Source organism: Homo sapiens, chromosome X, assembly GCF_000001405.40.
Source record: "Homo sapiens chromosome X, GRCh38.p14 Primary Assembly".
Taxonomy (NCBI): domain Eukaryota; kingdom Metazoa; phylum Chordata; class Mammalia; order Primates; family Hominidae; genus Homo; species Homo sapiens.
The window spans coordinates 106,357,672-106,377,051 of NC_000023.11; positions in this window are offsets into that span (position 1 = coordinate 106,357,672).

The following is a 19,380-nucleotide window of genomic DNA, read 5'->3' on the forward strand; positions in this document are numbered from 1 at the left end:
AGTCTACCATTGTAATCATTTGGGTTAATTCTGTCCCTTGCGATTGTGAATAGTGCTGCAATGAACATAGGCGTAAATGTGTCTTTATAATAGAATGATTTATATTCCTTTGGATATATACCCAGGAATGAGATTGCTGGGTCAAATGGTACTTCTGTTTTTACGTCTTTGAGGAATCATCACAATGTCTTCTAAAATAGTTGAACAAATTTACACTCCCACCAACAGTGTATAAGCATGACTTTTTCACTGCAACCTTGCCAGCATCTGTTATTTTTTGACTTTTAAATAATAGCCATTCTGGCTGATGTGACATGGTATCCCATTGTGGTTTTGATTTGCATTTCTCTAATGATCAGTGATGTTGAGCTTTTTTCCATATGTTTGTTGGTTGCATGTATGTCTTCTTTTAAAAAGTGTCTGTTCATGTCTTTGTCCACTTTTTAATGAGGTTGTTTGTTTTTTTCTTGTAAATTTGTTAAGTTCCTTATAGATGCTGGATATTAGACTTTGTCGGATGCATAGTTTGCAAACATTTTCTCCCACTCTTTAGGTTGTCTGTTCACTTTGTTGATAGTTTCCTTTTCTGGGCAGAGGGTCTTTAGTTTAATCAGATCCCACTTGTCAATTTTTGCTTTTGTTGCAATTGCTTTTGATGTTTTCATCTGAAACATTTGCCTGTTCCTATGTCCAGAATGGTATTGCCTAGGTTGTCTTCCAGGGTTTCTGTTGTTTGGGGTTCTTGTTTTGTTGAGACAGAGGCTCACTCTGTTGCCCAGGCTGGAGTGCAGTGGCGCAATCTTGGCTCACTGCAACCTCCACCTCCTGGGTTTAAGTGGTTGTCGTGCCTCAGCCTCCCGAGTAGCTGGGTTTACAGGCGTGTGCCACCACACCTGACTAATTTTTGTATTTTTAGTAGAGATGGGGTTTTGACATTTTGGCCAGGCTGATCTCAAACTCCTGGCCTCGAGTGATCCACCCACCTCGGCCTCCCAAAGGGCTGGGATTACAGGCATGAGCCACTGCACCTGGCCTGTTTTCGGTTTTATATGTAATTCTTCAATCCATCTTGAGTTAATTTTTGTATATGGTGTATGGAAGGGGTCCAGTTTCAGTCTTCTGCGTATGGCTAGCCAGTTATCCCAGCACTATTTATTAAATAGGGAATTCTTCCCCCATTGCTTATTTTTAACAGGTTTGTTGAAGATCAGATGGTTGTAGGTGTGTGGCCTTGTATCTGGGTTCTCTGTTCTGTTCCATTGTTCTGTGCGTCTGTTTCTGTCCAGTATCATGCTGTTTTGCTTACTGTAGCCCTGTAGTGCAATTTGAAGTGAGTTAATGTGATGACTCCAGCTTTGTTCTTTTTGCTTAGGCTTGCCTTGGCTATTCGGGCTCTTCTTTTGTTCCATATGAATTTTAAAATACTTTTTTCTAATTCTGCAAAAAAAAGTCAATGGTAGTTTAATAGAAATAGCATTAATTCTATAATTGCTTTGGGCAGAATAGCTATTTTAATGATATTGAGTCTTCCTAGCCATAAGCTTGGAATTTTTTTTTTCATTTGTTTGTGTCATCTCTGATTTATTTGAGCAGTGTTTTGTATTTGTCATTGTAGAGATCTTTCACCCCCCTGGTTAGCTGTATGCCTAGGTATTTTATTCTTTTTGTGGCAATTGTGCATGGGATTGCATTCCTGTTTTGGTTCTAGGCTTGACTGTTGTTGGTGTATAGGAATGTTAGTGACTTTGGCATATTGACTTTGTGTGCTGAGACTTTGCTAAAGTTGTTAATCAGCTTAAGGAGCTTTGGGGCTGAGGCATAGTTTGACTTTCTCCCTTCCTTTTTGGATGCACTTTATTTGTTTTCTTCCTGATTGCTGTGGCCAGGACTTTCAATACTATATTGAATAGAAGTGATAAGAGAGGGCATTCTTGTATTGTGTTGGTTTTCAAGGGGAATGCTTCCAGCTTTTGCCCATTCATTATAAAATTAATTGTAGAATTGTCATAGATGGCTATTATTATTTTAAAGTATGTTCCCTCAATACCTAGGTTATTGAGACTTTTTAACATGAAGAGGTATTGAATTTTATTGAAAGTCTTTTATGCATCTATTGAGATAATCATGTGGCTTTTGTCTTTAGTTCTGTTTAGGTGATGAATCACATTGATTAGCTTGCTTATGTTGAACCAACTTTGTATCTGAGGCATAAAGCCTACTTGATAGTGGAGGGTAAGCTTTTTAATGTACTGCTGGATTCGGTTTGCCAGTATTTTCTTGAGGATTTTTGCATTGATGTTCATTAAGGACATTGGCAGGAATTTTTATTTTTTTGTTGTGTCTCTGCCAGGTTTTGGTATTAGAATGATGCCAGCCTCACAGAATGATTTAGGAGGAGTCCCTCCTCCTCAAATTTTTTGAAATAGTTTCAGCAGGAAGGGTAACAGCTTATTTTTCTACATCTGATAGAATTCAGCTGTGAATCCATCTGGTCCTGGGCTTTTTTTGGTTGGTAGACTATTACTGATTCAATTTTACAGAGCTCATTATTTATCTGTTCAGTGATTAAATTTCTTCCTTTTTTAGTCTTGGAAGGGTGTATGTGTCCAGGAGTTTATCAATTTCTTCTTGATTTTCTAGTTTATGTGTACAGTGATATTTAGAATATTCTCTGATGGTTGTTTGTATTTCTGTGGGTTAAGTGGTAACATTCCCCTTGTCATTTCCCCTTTCGTTTATTTGAATCTTCTCTCTTTCTCCTTTATTTGTCTAGCTAGCATCTATTTTATTTTTTATTTTTTTTAAAACTAGCTCCTGAATTCATTGATCTTTTGAATAGTTTTTTTTTGTTTGTTTTTTGTTTTTTTTTTTTTGCATCTCAATCTCCTTCAGTTCAGCTCTGATTTTGATTATTTCTTGTCTTCTGGTAGTTTTGTGGTTGGTTTGCTCTTGGTTCTCTAGTTCTTTTAGTTGTGGTGTTAGGTTGTTATTTTAAGACCTTTCTAACTTTTTGAGGTGGGCATTTAGTTCTATAAATTTCCCTCTTAACACTGCCTTAATTGTGTCTCGGAGATTCTGCTATGTTGCATCTTTGTTCTCATTAGTTTCAAAGAACTTCTTGATTTCCACCTTAATTTCATTATTTACCCAAAAGTCATTCAGGAATAGGTTATTTAATTTCCATGTAATTGTATGGTTTTCAGTGAATTTCTTAGTATTGATTTCTAATTTGATTGGGCTCTGGTACAAGAGACTGTTTGTTATGATTTCAGTTCTTTTACATTTGCTGAGGCGTGTTTTATGTCTGATTATGTGATTGATTTTAGAGTATGTGCCATGTGGTGATGAGCAGAACGGATATACTTTTGCTTTTGGGTGGAGAGTTCTGCAGATGTCTATCAGGTCCACTTAATCCAGTGCAAAGTTTATGTCTGAATAGTTTTCTTAATTTTCTGTCTCAATGATCTGTCTAATATCGTCAGTGGGCTGTCAAAGTCTCCCGCTACTATTGTGTGGGAGTCTAAGTCTCTTTGAAAGTCTCTAAGAACTTGCTTTGTGAGTGTGGGTGCTCCTGTGTTGGGTGCAGTGCCTTTATATATTTAGGATAGTTAACTCTTCTCGTTGAATTGAATTCTTTACTATTATGTAATGCCCTTCTTTGTCTTTTTTTTTTATCTTTGCTGGTTTAAAGTCTGTTTTGTTTTTAACTAGGATTGCAACCTTGTTTTTTTTCTGTTTTCCACTTGCTTCATAGATTTTTCTTCATCCCTTTATTTTGAGCCTATGTGTGTCATAGCATGTGAGATGGATCCTTTGAAGACAGCATACCAACAGGTCTTGGTTCTTTATCCAGCTTGCCACTCTGTGCCTTTTAATTGGAACATTTATCCTGCTTACCTTAAAGGTTACTATTGAAATGTGTGGATTTGATCCTGTCATCATGATGTTAGCTGGTTATCTTCCACACTTGTTTATGTGGTTGCTTTATAGTGTCACTGGTCTGTGTATTTCAGTGTGTTTCTGTAGTGGCTGGTAATGGTCTTTCCTTTCCATATTTAGTGCTTCCCTCTGGAGCTCTTCTAAAGTAGGTCTGGTGATAACAAATTACCTCAGCATTTGCTTGTATGAAAATAATCTTATTTCTCCTTCATTTATAAGGCTTAGTTTAGCCACATATGAAATTCTTGTTTGAAATTTCTTTTCTTTAAGAACGTTGGATATCAGCCCCCAATCTCTTCTGGCTTGTAGGGTTTCAGCTGAGATGTCTGCTGTTAGTCTGATGGGCTTCCCTTTGTAGGTGACTTGTCCTTTCTCTCTAGCTGCCCTTAACATTTTTTTTTTTTCATTTCAACCTTGGAAAATCTGGTGATTATATATCTTGGGGAAGATCTGCTTGGGAAATGTTTTGTGGGGGCTCTAAGAATCTCCAGAATTTGGATGTTGGCCACTCTAGTTAGGTTGGGAAGTTCTCCTGCTTGATATCCTGAAATATGTTTTCCAAGTTAGTTTCATCCTCCCCACCTCTTTCAGGGACAATAATGAGTCATAGATTTTGTCTCTTTATATATTCCCATGTTTCACAGAGGTTTCGTTTGTTTTGTTTTTTTTTTCATTCTTTTTTCTCTGTTCTTGTCTGACTGTCTTATTTCAGTAAACTAGTCTTCAAGCTCTGAGATTCTTTCCTCAGCTTGGTCTATTCTACTATTAATACTTGCAATGGCATTATGAGAGTCCTGTGGTGTGTTTTTCAGCTCTATCAGGTTGGTTATGTTCTTTTCTCTACTGGCTGTTTTGTCTGTTAGCTCCTGCATTGTTTTTTCATGATTCTTAGCTTTCTTGTATTGGGTTTCAATGTTCTCCTGCATCTCAATAATCTTCATTCCTATCCATATTCTGAATTCTATTTCTGTAATTTCAGCCCACTTCAGAACGTGTGCTTGAGAGTTTTATGTGGTCGTTTGGAAAAAAAGAAGGCATTCTGGCTTTTTGAATTGTCAGAGTTCTTGTGCTGATACTTTTTCATATTTATGGGCTTGTCTACCTTCAGTCTTTGAAGTTTCTGATCTTTGGATTTGTTTTCTTTTATCCTGTTTGATGACTTTGAGGGTTTGATTGTGGTATAAGGTGGATTTAGCCAACTGGCATCATTTCTGGAATATTTTAGGGGGCCAACATTCAGCCACCAACTCCTAAACTACATGCTCTAATTCTGGGGGACTTGTGTTGGGCCTCGACCTTGTTCTCTGGCTCCTTAAGGTTAGGAATCTACTGCACTAGGGTGGCCGAGGTGCTCCTGGACTGCTGGTCACTACATTCAGATGGGTGGTGTTAGCCAAAATGTTTAATAGTGTGGTCATAGCTGGATCCATCCTCATAGCAGCAGCTGTGGCAGATTGCTAGCAAGTGCCAGGGTGCCCACCACTGAGAGTGCTCACCACAGTGGTGAAGGCAATGCAGCTGGTGGGGTGTGTGGTTGTGCTGAAGGTGGTGTTGGCTCAGGGGCAGGGTGCTAAGGGGCACAGGTTTGGGTGCCTTCTCTGTGCCCCACAAGCAGGAGTGTTCACTCAGGGTGGGGAAGGATCTGCTGTTCTCTGCACAGTGTTAGCACAAGGATGGGGAGCTGACGGGGATGGTGCTGGCTGGCTCTATGCCCACCAAGACTCCATCTACAATGGTGGCCGGGGAGGGGAGTGGGGGTGAACTAGACTCCTGTGTGCTGGCAGGGCAAGGAAACAAAACCAGCCCATGCAGACACACATCAGCAAAGCAATGTGGGGAGTTGCCGTGGGCCTGGGGGAAACTGCAGTATAGGGAGGGACCATGCAGGCTGGTGTGTGGCCATTGGAACCAGCCTGCTGGAGCTCTCCACCAGGCAGGCACGGTCTGCCAGTGCAGAAGCTATGGTGTGGGCCCCCAGGGCACCCAAGACTGCCCCGTAAGCAGGCATGGACAGCTTGGGCCCCTAGGAGAGGCCAGGAGACCAAGGGTGCTCAGGTCAGCCCAGCCCTGTCTGAGGGGCAAGACTGCCCTGCAGAATTCAAGTTTGACAGCTCCCCTTGGCCTAAAGTCTCCTATGGGAGCAAGTCAAGCTTAGGGGGATGACTGTCCCTGGCTCCACTGGGACAGTGGTTCTCCACTTCAGATGCTCCCGCACCAAACACTCTGGGCTCCACATCAGCTGGCTTGCTGCCCCTACTACTTCTCTAAGCAGCTTTCCCTGCCAACTCAAGTGTCTGTGGTGGTTGAGGGGTCTCCTCCTGCCAGGGTTCCAGAGGCCCATGGCAAGAGTGGGTTTCTCCTTGCCAGTTCAACTCATCCAGTCCCCTGGAGCCATTGAGGGCCAAGAACAAGTCCTGATGTGCAGTAGCCCCGTGCAGGATTCCCAACTTTCTCCCCCTTCACCCCAGCTTTTGTGTCTTCCCTCTGTCCACTGTTGTTGCCTTCTCTCTGAAGATCTGTTAGGAGCACACCAGTCTTCTAGGTTCCACAGTGAGAGCTGTTCCACCTGGCTGCATCTAGTTGGCCATCTTGCCCTCACTCAGCTTGGGAATTCTTGTGTGAGGGTAAGGTAACCATATGAGTTAAAGTTCATGTGAGTATATCTGTGTGTGAATGCATGTTTCAGCTTTGTGGTGGATATGGGCATGTCCATGTGCAAGTGTATATGTGGACATGTTCCTTATTCTAAGAAGGTTAATGTGCATGTATAGATGAAAAGGTATGGGGGAGCACCTGAGGATATATATTTGAGTCTCTATATGAATAAATTTTGTAAGCATGTTTATGTGATTGAGAAATCATTTAAGCATATCTGTGTGAAAGAGTATGTCAATGTTTTGTGAGTATATTTAACTGTACGTAGGTATGTGAGTGAAATTTTTGAAATTCATATTTGTGTGATTCAATGAGTGAGCTTTTTTGGTGAGTGAGTGAATGAGTGAATACATGAGATTTTGTATGTATGTGAGCATAAATATGTATGACAGTATATGTGTGGGACTATTCATGGGTGAAAGTGTTTGTATGTGAATTCATATTTCATTAAATATTTGTCTGTGCTCATCTGTATGACTAAATTTGCAAGCATGTGAATATTTGCATGTTTGTGAGTAGTGAGTGTGTAAGTGGTCTTTGGTGTGATCTTGTTACATATATGTGTTTATGTTGATATAGACAGTTATGTAAAGGAATGTGTGAGGACATGTGTGTCAGTAAATGTAAGTGTTTTACATGTTTTGAGTGAATTTGTGAGCTTCTTGGTGAGTGTGACAATGTTCATGTGCCAGTGAACATAGGAGCAAGTTCCTCTATGTCAATGACATTTTGCAAGTGTAAGTGAATGTGTGATTATGTGTATATAAATCTAATGAGTGGTTCTGGTGTGTGTCATTTTCTGATTAAGCATATATGTCAGTGAATGTGTGATAATGCTCATGTGAATGAGTGAGATGTGAATATGTTTGTGTCAGTGAATGTGTGAGCATGTGAATATATGTGAGTAGGCATATCTGACAGTGAATATATGAACTTATACATGTGAGAGGTGAGTGTGATATTTGAGTGTTGAAATTAATGTTTTTGTGTGTTCAAATAATATGCTTGAATTTGTGACCAAGAGCATGGATGTTAGCATGGTCATGTGAGTGACTGAATGTTTATCAGGTTATTGTTGTGAGCCTATAACCTGTGAGTATACTTGTGTTACCATGTGAGTATATTTCTGTGAGTGAAATGTGAGTGTGTGAGGCTATGTGTGTATTTTTTCTGTGAGTGAATGTGTGTCATGTGGCTGTCAGCATGTTTGTGTGTGCCCATGTGTGCATGTTCCTGATTATGACAGTGTTAATGTCCATGTGAAAGTGAAAGTGGGAGCATCCAAGTACATCTGTTTGAGTCCCTGTGTAAGTGAATTTGTGCAAATGCTATGTGATTGAATGAGCAGGATTGTATGTAGTTAATTTACTGGTGTGTGCATGTGAGTGTATCTAATGCATCTATGTATTTGAGTATATTTGTGAGCAGGTTTATATGAGTGAATATGTGATCATGCACACAAAAGTGTGTGAAAGTATGAGCACATTTATGTAAATAAGTTACTGTGTGTGAGCATGAAACTGTGAATATGTGTGTCTGTGTAAGTGAAATTGTGCATATGTTATGTGATTAAATGAATGAGCAGGATTGTATGTTAATTTATCGGTGTGTGTGAGTGTATCCAATATGTCTATTTATTTGAGTACATTTGTGAGCATGTTTAGGTGAGCAAATGTGTGATCATGCTCACATAAGTGTGTGAAAGTGTGAGCATATTTGTGTAAATAAGTGACTGTGTGATCATGTAAGTGTGAATGTATGCATGTGTCTATATGTGTAATTTTTAAAGTTCATTTGATTAAGCGAATATTAAACATGTTAATATGAGTGAATGTATGAGCATGTGCATATATGTAAGCATGTATATGTAAGCATGTAAGCATATATGTGTAAGCATGTGAGAGTAAATATGTGAATTTGTAATGTCTTAGATTGTGCTAGTGTAACAATATTTGAGTGTTGAATTCAAGGGGTGTGTTAAAGTATACTGTGAATTTGTGAGCATGTATATAGGTGCTAGCATGTTTGTATTAAGTGAATGTGTGTCATATTCATTTGTGTGAGCTTTTTAATGTGTTAGTATATTGTGTGAGTTAAATGTGAGTGTGAAGTGTATCTCTGTGAGTGAATGAGATCATTGTGAGTGTAAGCACGTTTGTGTGAGAGTGATAGGTAAACAGATTACTATTCATGAATGTGTTAATGTGCCTGTTTAATTGTATGGGTGAGTGTGAGCACATAGTATATATAATGGTGTCTCTATAGGTATGAATTTGTGAGAATACACATGTGAATCAGTTAGTGTGTGAGCAGGTCCCTGTTTTTATGTGTGCTAATGCATGAGTGAAGGGATGCGTAAAAGTGTTCAGGTGAGATATACAAGTGTGTCTTACATATGAATGAACTTGTGAGCATGTTCATGTGCATGAGTGTATATGTCTTGGAGATAGTGTATGTGAGTGTTCTATATGTGTGAAAATTTAGCATGATCATGTTACTGAATGTGTGAGCATATCTATATATGAGAGCACAAATTTGTGTTTTAGTGTATTTGTGAGCATGTTCACATGTGAGCATAAGTGTGTGTAACTAAATAATGAGAATGTATATGTGAATATATAATTATGGGAATATGATTAGGCATGTGGTTGTAAATAATTGTATGTAAAGGTATCTATATATTATAAATGTGATTTAATTTTATAAACGTGTGTGTGATTGAATGTATTAGCATGTCCCTGTTTATGTTTACATACATGTGTGAAAGAAAGTATGAGTGAGTAAATGTGAGCATATATGAGTGGGTCCTGTGTGTAAGTTTGTAGGTATGTCCATGTGAAAGAAAGAAAGTGTGAGCAAGTTTGTGTGAATGTGTGCACGTGAAGGTGTCTGTCTATATATGTTAGTGAATATATGAGCATGTCATGAGCAAAGCAAGTCCATTTGTAAACTTTAATGTGTGAGTGTATCTATGTAAGTGAATGTGTGACCTTTTATGTAAGCATGAGCATATTCATGGGCAGTGAATACCTGAAAATATTCCTTTTGTGGTCATATTATTTTGGGTAACCAAATGTGTGAGTATGTACATATAAATGTGAATGAGTCTGTCTGGTGTGTGTGATTTTGTGAGCACATTCATGTGAGTGAGTGAATGAGCACGTTTGGTTTTTTTTTTGTTCTTTATTGTTGCTGTTTGTTTGTTTTGAGACAAAGTCTCACTCTGTCGCCCAGGCTGGAGTGCAGTGGCGCAATCTCTCAGCTCACTGCAACCTCCGCCTCCTGGATTCAAGCAATTCTCCAGCCTCAGCCTCCCAAGTTGCTGTGATTACAGGTGCCTTCCACCACACCCCACTAATTTTTGTATTTTTAGTAGAGATGAGGTTTCACCGTGTTGGCCAGGCTGGTCTTGAACTCCTGACCTCAAGTGATCCACCCACCTTGGCCTCCCAAAGTGCTGGGATTATGGGTATGAGCCACCACGCCTGGCCCATGTTTGTGTGAATGAAAGAATGTGTGAGATTGCAGACATGTATGTGAGTGTGACTGAGTTAATTTATCACTATGCTCTTTTGAGTGAGTGAATTGTGTGTGTTAATGTGAGTGATTGAATCTGTGTGTGCATGTATAAATAAATCTCTGAGTAAATTCTTGAATTTGCATATTTGAATACACATACATATTTGTGCAAATAGAAAACTAGGTTTTATATTTAGTATATTGATGTATGTCTGTGTGTGGATGTGTAAATATGTGTAAATTATTATATGTGAGGGTGTCCATGTGTGTGAATTTTAAAACGTTTGTGTTTGATAAGTAATATGTGAGTTTATGTGTGAGCTCAAATTCAAGTATGTCCTTGCATGTGAGTAAATGTTTCAGTGTTGATATGTGTGAGTGAATGTTTTAATAACTTTGAGCATAAATGGGTGAGTGAATGTGTGAGCATTTCATGTATGTAACCATGTTGGTGAGTATATTTGAGTGAATAAATGAGCATGTGTGTGTGAGAGTGTGAATGTATCCACCAGTGTGAGTAAACTTCTGAGCATGATTATGTGAATAATGCATGAGTATATGTATGTATGTGGGCATGTCCACGTGTGAGACTGTTCATGTATGAATGTGTTAGTGTGAGCATATTTGTGTGCTTAACTGAATGTTCATGTATAAACGTGTATAAGGATGTAAAAGTATTCATGTTTGTGTGAGGTTGTCAATGTGTGAGTAAAGTTGTGAGTGAAAACATGACCATGTACTTGTGTGTATATGTGTGCATCCATGTGTGTGATGAGTGTGAATGTTTATTTGCAAGTGAATGTGTGTGTCCCTGTTTGTGTGTTAATTTGCATGTGTGAATGAATTATATGTGCATGTGAGCATATATAAGTATGTCTTTGAGTACATTTTTAAGAATATTCACGTGAATTAGGGGATCTATAATCCAACTTGTGTGAGTGAATAGCTGAGCAATTTTTTTGTGTGAATGTATGTGAAAGTGGGTTCATTTGTGTGGGCTTCTTAATGGAAGACTATATTTCTGTGAGTATATATATGTGTGTGTGTGTGTTTGCAAGTATATGTGTGTGTGTTTGCAAGTGAATGTGTGAGCATGCCCCTGTTTATGTGTGTTTATATGCCTGTGTGAGAGAGTAAGTGTGTACATGTGACCATATATGAGTGTTTTCTGTATGAGTGAAATTGTAACCATGTTCATGTGAATGAGCTAATTTGGGAGCGAGTTTGGTTGAGTGAATAAATGTGTGAGCATCTCTTATATGAGCATCACTGAGTATGCATGTGTGTGTAAGCATGTTCATACTATAAGTGAACATATGAACATATCGTGTCTGTAAGGGAGTTAGTTTTTGAGTATGTTTGACTGTATGAGTGAACTTACCTGTGTGAAAGTAAAAGTGTGAGTGTGTAATATGTGAAGGTTATTTCTGTGAGTGAATGTGTGAGCACATTCATGTGTAGGATCAGGTTCTCCAGTGAGTGAATGAGTATGTTTGTATATGTGAATATAATTGTATGTGTGAGCAAGTTCATATGTGTGTGCTAATGTATGACTATGTGAATGTGAGCACCAGCATGTGAGTGTATCTATGTGAGTGAGCAAATTTGTGTAATGTTAAGAGTGAATAAATGTGTTAGCATGTCCTTATTTGAGAGTGTCAATACATGGGTGAATGTATGAGCATATTCATGTATGTGAGGAATTAAGTGTGCCTGTGTGAGTAGATGTGCAAAGATGTTCATGTGTGAGTTAATGGGTGATCAAACACATGTAATAGCATGATAATATATGAGTAAATGCATGTGTGAATAAACACATGAATATGTTTCTATGAGCAGGTTAATGTGTGTGTATAAGTGAATATGAGTATGTGCACAGAAGCAAATATGAGTGTTATGTGTCAATAAAATTGTAAGCATGTTCATGTGTGTCAGTGAATGTGTGAGCATGTGCATGTATATGAGCCTGTTTATGTCTGAGTGAATTCTTTAGCATCTTCATATGTGTTAGTACATGTGTGAGTGAATAGTGAACATGTTTGTATATGTAAGCATGTTAATGGGAGAGCGAATGTGTGTATGAAAATTGTGTGATCATAAATGTCAGTGTGTGAAAAATTGTGTGTTGATGTGTGTGACAGAATGTGTATGAATGACTTCATGTATATGAGCATACTTGGCATGTGAGTGATTTAGCATTTCATATATGTATTTAGCATTATCATACTTAGCATGTACATTTCATTATTGTATTATGCCATTCTTGCGTTGCTATAAAGAAATACGTGAGGGTGGGTAATCTATAAAGAGGCTTAATTGGCTCATGGTTTTTCAGGCTTTACAGAAAGTATGATGCCAACATTTGCTTCACTTCTGGGCCGGCCTCAGAAAGCTTTTACTCATGGCAGAAGGTGAAGTGGGAGCAGACATGTCACACGGTCAAAGCAGGAACAAGAGAGAAGAGAGGAGGTGTCACACACTTTTAAATGACCAGATCTTATAAGAACTCACTCACTGTGGTGAGAACAGCACCAACCTATGGGGTTCCATGGAGGTATCCACCTCCATGACCCAAACACCTCCCACCACACCCTATCTCCAGAATTGGGGACTACATTTCAACATGAGGTTTGGGCAGGGACAAATATCCAAACAATAACAAGTATACTTACGTTTCTGTGAATTTGTGAGCATGTGTGTGAGTAAATATGTGTGTTCATGAGCATAAGCATGTTGGTGTCAGTGAATATTTGAGCATCGCCTTGTATATGAGTGAAAATGCAAGCTAGTTCATATGTCAGTGTTTATTACATTTGTGTGATCAGGTAAATGCTTGTGTGTTCTTGTTTTTTGTTTTGTTTTGTTTTTGTTTATATTTTTGATGGAGTTTCACTCTTGTTGCCCAGACTGGAGTGCAATGGCACGATCTCGGCTCACTGCAACCTCCACCTCCCAGGTTCAAGGGATTCCCCTGCCTCAGCCTCCCAATTAGCTGGGATTAAAAGCATGAGCCAGCACGACCAGCTAATTTTGTATTTTTAGTAGAGACAGGGTTTTTCCATGTTGGTCAGGCTGGTCTTGAACTCCTGACCTCAGGTGATCCACCCGCCTCGGCCTCCCAAAGTGCTGGGATTACAGGCGTGAGCCACCATGCCCTGCCTGAGTGTTCATGTTTATAAGCAAAATTTATGACCGTGTGCATCAATGTTAGCATATTTGTGTAAGTTCATGTGTAATCATGGTCATTTGTGTGAGTGTATTTGTGTGAGGGGTGATGAGGGTGTGCATGTGAGTATATGAATGTGTGAGCTTCTTGCTATACATAAGCATGTTTGAGTGAATATGTGAGCATGTTTCTGTGAGTGTATTAATATGCATGCATAAGTGAATGAGTGTGTGCATGTGAACATGAGTATGTGTGGAAATAAATTTGTAAGTTAGCTCATGTGTGAGTGAATATATGAGCATATTTGTGTGTGAGAGTAAATGTGAGCATAATCATGTGAGTGTGTGAGCAAGGTTTGTGAGTAAACATGAGAGAGAGTGCATGTATGTGAGCCTGTTTGCAGCATTAGAGACTTGTACAGTTTGTGAAGGAAAGTACTTGAGAGTTCAGCTGCTGAATAAATATCTGGAAAGTTGTGTAAAACCCAAGTGCAAGTAGTATTTTTCAGGGTTAGACAAGAGGAATCTTGGACTAGATGCAGCCAGGTGGAACAGCTGCCACCAAGGGACTGGGACAACTGGCACACTCCTAACAGATCTTCCAGGGGAAGGCACTGAGAGTGGATGAAGGGAAGACAAATAAGCTAGGCTGAAAGGGGAAGAATCTGGAAACTCTGCGTGGGGCTACCACACACTGGGGCTTGTTCTTGGCCCCCAGTGACTTCCAGGGAAATGGATGAGTTGAACTGGCAAGGAGTAACCCATGAAAATTTCCCCAACCTAGCTATAGAGGCCAACATTCAAATTCAGGAAATGCAGACAACACCCACAAATACTTCACAAGAAGTTCATCCCCAAGACACATAATCATCAGATTCTCCAAGATCAAAATGAAAGAAAAAATGTTAAAAGTAGCTAGAGAGAAAGGTCAGGTCACCTACAAAGGCAAGCCCATCAGACTAACAGTGGACCTCTCAGCAGGAACCCTACAAGTCAGAAGAGATTGAGGGCCAATATTCAACATTCTTAAAGAAAAGAAATTCCAAACAAAAATTTCATATCTGGCCAAACAAAGTTTCATAAGCAAAGGGGAAATAAGATTCTTTTTCAGACAAACAAGGGCTGAGGGAATTTGTTATCACCAGACCTGCCTTTTAAGAGCTCCTGAAGGAAGCACTAAATATGGGAAGGAAAGACCATTATCAGCCGCTACGAAAACACACTGAAATACACTGACCAATGACACTAAAAAACAACCACATAAACAAGTCTGCATAATAACCAGCTAACATCATGATGACAGGATCAAATCCATACATTTCAACATTAATCTTAAATGTAAATGAGATAAATGCCCCAATTAAAAGGCACAGAGTGGCAAGCTGCATAAAGAATCAAGACATGATGGTAGGCTGTCTTTAAGTGACCTATCTCACATGCAATGACACTCATAGGCTCAAAATAAAGGGATGAAGAAAAATCTACCAAGAAAGTGGGAAAATCTTAATTTCAGACAAAACAGACTTTAAGGAAAAAAATATCAAAAAAGATGAAGAAGGGCATTATGTAATGGTAAAGCATTCAATTCAATAAGAAGCTCTAACTATCCTAAATATATATATGTGCACCCAATGCAGTAGCACTCAGATTCATGAAGTGAGTTCTTAGAGAACTTCAAAGAGACTTAGACTGCCACATAAAAGTAGTAAGAGACTTTAATATGCCACTGTCAGTATTAGACAGGTAATAAAGGCAGAAAATTAACAAAGACATTCAGGAAACATAAACTCAGCACTGGTCAAATGGACCTGATAGACATCTGTAGAAGTCTTCACCCAAAAACAACAGGATATCCATTCAGCTCATTGTCACATGGCACATACTCTAAAATCAATCACATAATCAGACATAAAACACTCCTCAGCTAATGCAAAAGAACTGAAAACATAAAAACCACTCTCACAGACCACAGGCAATTAAAATAAAATTTATGACTAAGAAAATAGCTCAGAACTATATGATTACATGGAAATTAAATAACCTATTCCTGAATGATTTTTAGGTAAGTAATGAAATCAAGGCAGAAATCAAGAAGTTCTTTGAAACTAATGAAAACAAAGATACAACATATCAGAATCTCTGGGACACAGCTAAGGCAGTGTTAAGAAGGAAATTTATAGCACTAAACACCCACATCAAAAAGTTAGAAAGATCTCAATTTAACAACCTAACATCACAATTAAAAGAAGTAGAGAAGTAAAAGCAAACCAACCCCAAAGCTATCAGAAAACAAGAAATAACCAAAATCAAAGCTGAACTGAAGAAGATTGAGACACACACACAAAAAAAATTCAAAAGATCAATGAAACCAGGGTTTGGTTTGTTGAAAATGTTAATAAAACAGATAGACTGCTAACCAGACTAATAAAGAAAAAAAGGGAACATAGGATCCAAATAAAAACAATTAGAAATGACAAAGGAGATACTATCACCGACTCCACAGAAACACAAACAACCATCAGAGAATATTATGAACACCTCTATGCACACCAACTGGAAAATCTAGAAGAATTGGATAAATTCCTGGACACATAAACCTTTCCAAGACCGAAACAGGAAGAAATGGAATACCTGAACAGATCAATAATAGCTCTGAAATTGAATCAGTAATAAATAGCCTACCAACCAGAAAAAGCCCAGGACCAGATGGATTCACAGCTGAATTCTACCAGATGTACAAAGAAGTGCTGGTACCATTCCTACTGAAACTATCCCCCAAAAAGTTAGGAGGCCAGCATCATGCTGATAACAAAACCTAGGAGACACACAACAAAAAAGGAAAACTTCATGCCACTATCCTTGATGAACATCATGCAAAAATCCCTAAGAAAATACTGGAGGCTGGGCGCAGTGGCTCACGCCTGTAATCCCAACATTTTGGGAGGCCAGGGTAGGTGGATCATTTGAGGTGAAGGGTTCAAGACCAGCCTGACCAACATGGTGAAATCCCGTCTCTACTAAAAAAATACAAAACAAAAAAAAATTAGCTGGATGTGGTGGCACGTGCCTGTAGTACAGCTTCTTGGGAGGCTGAGGCAAGATAATCACTTGAACCCAGGAGGTGGAGGTTGCAGTGAGCCAAGACTGTGCCACTGAACTCCAGCCTGGGAGACAGTGAGACTCCATCTCAAAAAAAAAAAAAATACTGGCAAATTGAATCCAACAGCACATCAAAAAGCTTACCCACCACAATCAAGTAGGCTTTATCCCTGGGATGCAAGGTTGGTTCAGCATACACAAATCAGTCAATGTGACTCATCACATAAACAGAACTAAATACAAAAACCACATGATCATCTCAATAGATGCAGAAAAGGCTTTCAATAAGATTCAATACCCCTTCATGTTAAAAACTCTAAATAAACTAGGTAGTGAAGGAACACGTCTCAAAATAATAAGAGCCATCTATGACAAACCCACAACAAATATCATACTGAATGGGTAAAAGCTGGAAGCATTCCCTTTGAAAACCAACACCAGGCAAAAATGCCCTCTCTCACTACTACTATTCAACATAGTATTGGAATTCCTAGCCAGAGGAATCAGGCAAGAGAAGGAAATAAGGGACATCCAAATAGGAAGAGAGGAAGTCAAACTATCCCTATTTGTAGACAACATGATATCTACAAAACCCCATAGTCTCAGCCCAAAAGCTCCTTAAGCTCATAAACAACTTCAGCAAAGTCTCAGGATACAAAATCAATGTAAAAAAATCAGTAGCATTCCTATATACCAACAACAGTCAAGCCGAGAGCCAAATCAGGAATGCAATAGCATTCACAATTGCCACAAAAAGAATAAAATACCTAAGAATACAGCTAATGAGGGAAGGGAAAGATCTCTACAATGAGAAATACAAAACTGCTCAGAGAAATCAGAGATGACACAAACAAATGTGAAAATATTCAATACTCATGGATAGGAAGAATCAATATCATTAAAATGGTCATACTGCCCAAAGCCAGTTATAGATTCAATGCTATTTCTGTCCAACTACTAATGACATTCTTCACAGAACTAGAAAAATGCTATTTTAAAATTCATATGGAACCAAAAAAGAGCCCAAATAGCCAAGGCAATCCTAAGCAAAAATAAAAAAGCTGGAGGCATCATATTAGCTGTCTTCAAACTATACTGCAGGGCTATAGTAACCAAAACAGCATGGTCCTGGTACAAAAGTAGACACACAGATCAATGAAACAGAGAGCCCAGAAATAAGGTCACACATCTACAACCATCTGATCTTCGACAAAGTGGACAAAAATAAACAAGAGAGAAAGGACTCCTTATTCAATAAGTAGTGCTGGGATAACTGCCTAGCCATATGCAGAAGACTGAAACTGGACCACTTTCTTACACCATATACAGAAATTATCTCAAGATGGATTCAAAGCCTTAAATATAAAACCCAAAATGATAAAAATCCTGGAAGACAACCTAGGCAATAATGTTATTGACATAGGAACAGGCAAAGATTTCATGACAAAGATGCCAAAAGCAATTGCTACAAAACCAAAAATTGACAAATGGGATTTGATTAAAGAGCTTCTGGACAGCAAAAGAAACTATCTACAGAGTGAACAGACAACCCATAGAATGGGATAAATATTTTGTGAACTATGAATCTGACAAAGTTCTAGTATTCAGCATCTATAAGGTATTTAAACAAATTTACAAGAAAGAAACAACTCATTTTTAAAGTAATTTTTAAAAGGGCAAAGGACATGAACAGACACTTTTCAAAAGAAGACATATATGCCACAAACAAGCATATGAAAAAAAACTCATCATCTGTTATTAGTCCATTCTCACGCTGCTATGAAGAAATACCCAAGACTGGGTAATATGTAAAGAGAAAAGATTTAATTGAGTCACAGTACTGCAGGGCTGGGGAGGCCTCCGGAAACTTACAATCATGGCGGAAGGGAACGCAAACACGTCTTCTTTACATGGAAGCAAGAAGAAAAAGTGAAGAGCAAAGCAGGAAAAAGCCCCTTATAAAACCATCAGACCTTGTGAGAACTCACTCACTATCATGAGAACAGCATGGGGGAACTGCCCGCATGATCTAATCACCCCCCAAGAGTTCCCTCCCCCAGTATGTGGGGATTACAATTTGGATTAAAATTCAGTATGAGATTTGGGTTGGGGACACAGAGCCAGACCATATCAACATCACTGATGATTAGAGAAATGCTAATCAAAACCACAACAAGATACCATCTCACACCAGTCAGAATAGCTATTATTAAAAAGTCAAAAAGTAACAAATGCTGGCCAGGTTGCAGAGAAAAAGGAACACTTATACACTGTTGGTGGGAATGTAAGTTAGTTCAGTCATTGTGGAAATCAGTGTGGAGATTCCTCAAAGAGCTAAAAGCAGAACTACCATTCAACCCAGCAATCCCATTACTGGGTATATACCCAACGGAATATAAATCATTCTATCATAAAGACACATGCACGTATATGTTCATTGCAGCACTATTCCTAATAACAAAGACATGGAATCAACCTAAATGCCCATTAATGACAGACTGAATAAAGAAAATATGGTACATATACACCATGGAATATTATGGAGATATAAAAAAAGAATGAGATCATGTTCTTTGCAGGAACATGGATGGAGCTAGAGGCCATTATCCTTAGCAAACTAACACAGGAACAGAAAAATAAATATTGTATGTTCTCACTTGTAAGTTGGAAGTAAATGATGAAAACATATGGACACGTAGAGGGGAACAGAAGACACTGAGGCCTACCAGAGGGTGAATGGTGGGAGGAGGAAGAGTATTAGGAAAAATAACGCATGGGTACTAGTCTTAAGACCTGGGTGATGAAATAATGTGTACGGCAAACCACCATGACACGGGGTTTACATATGTAACAAACCTACACGTGTACCCCTGAACTTAAAAGTTAAAAAATAATAACAAAAAAGAAATATTCAACTAAAGGAATGGCCATGTTTCATCGTTTGAAAGTATTGCCAAGTACATATTCCCTTGCACAGTGACCAACCCACCATATGTATGTTTT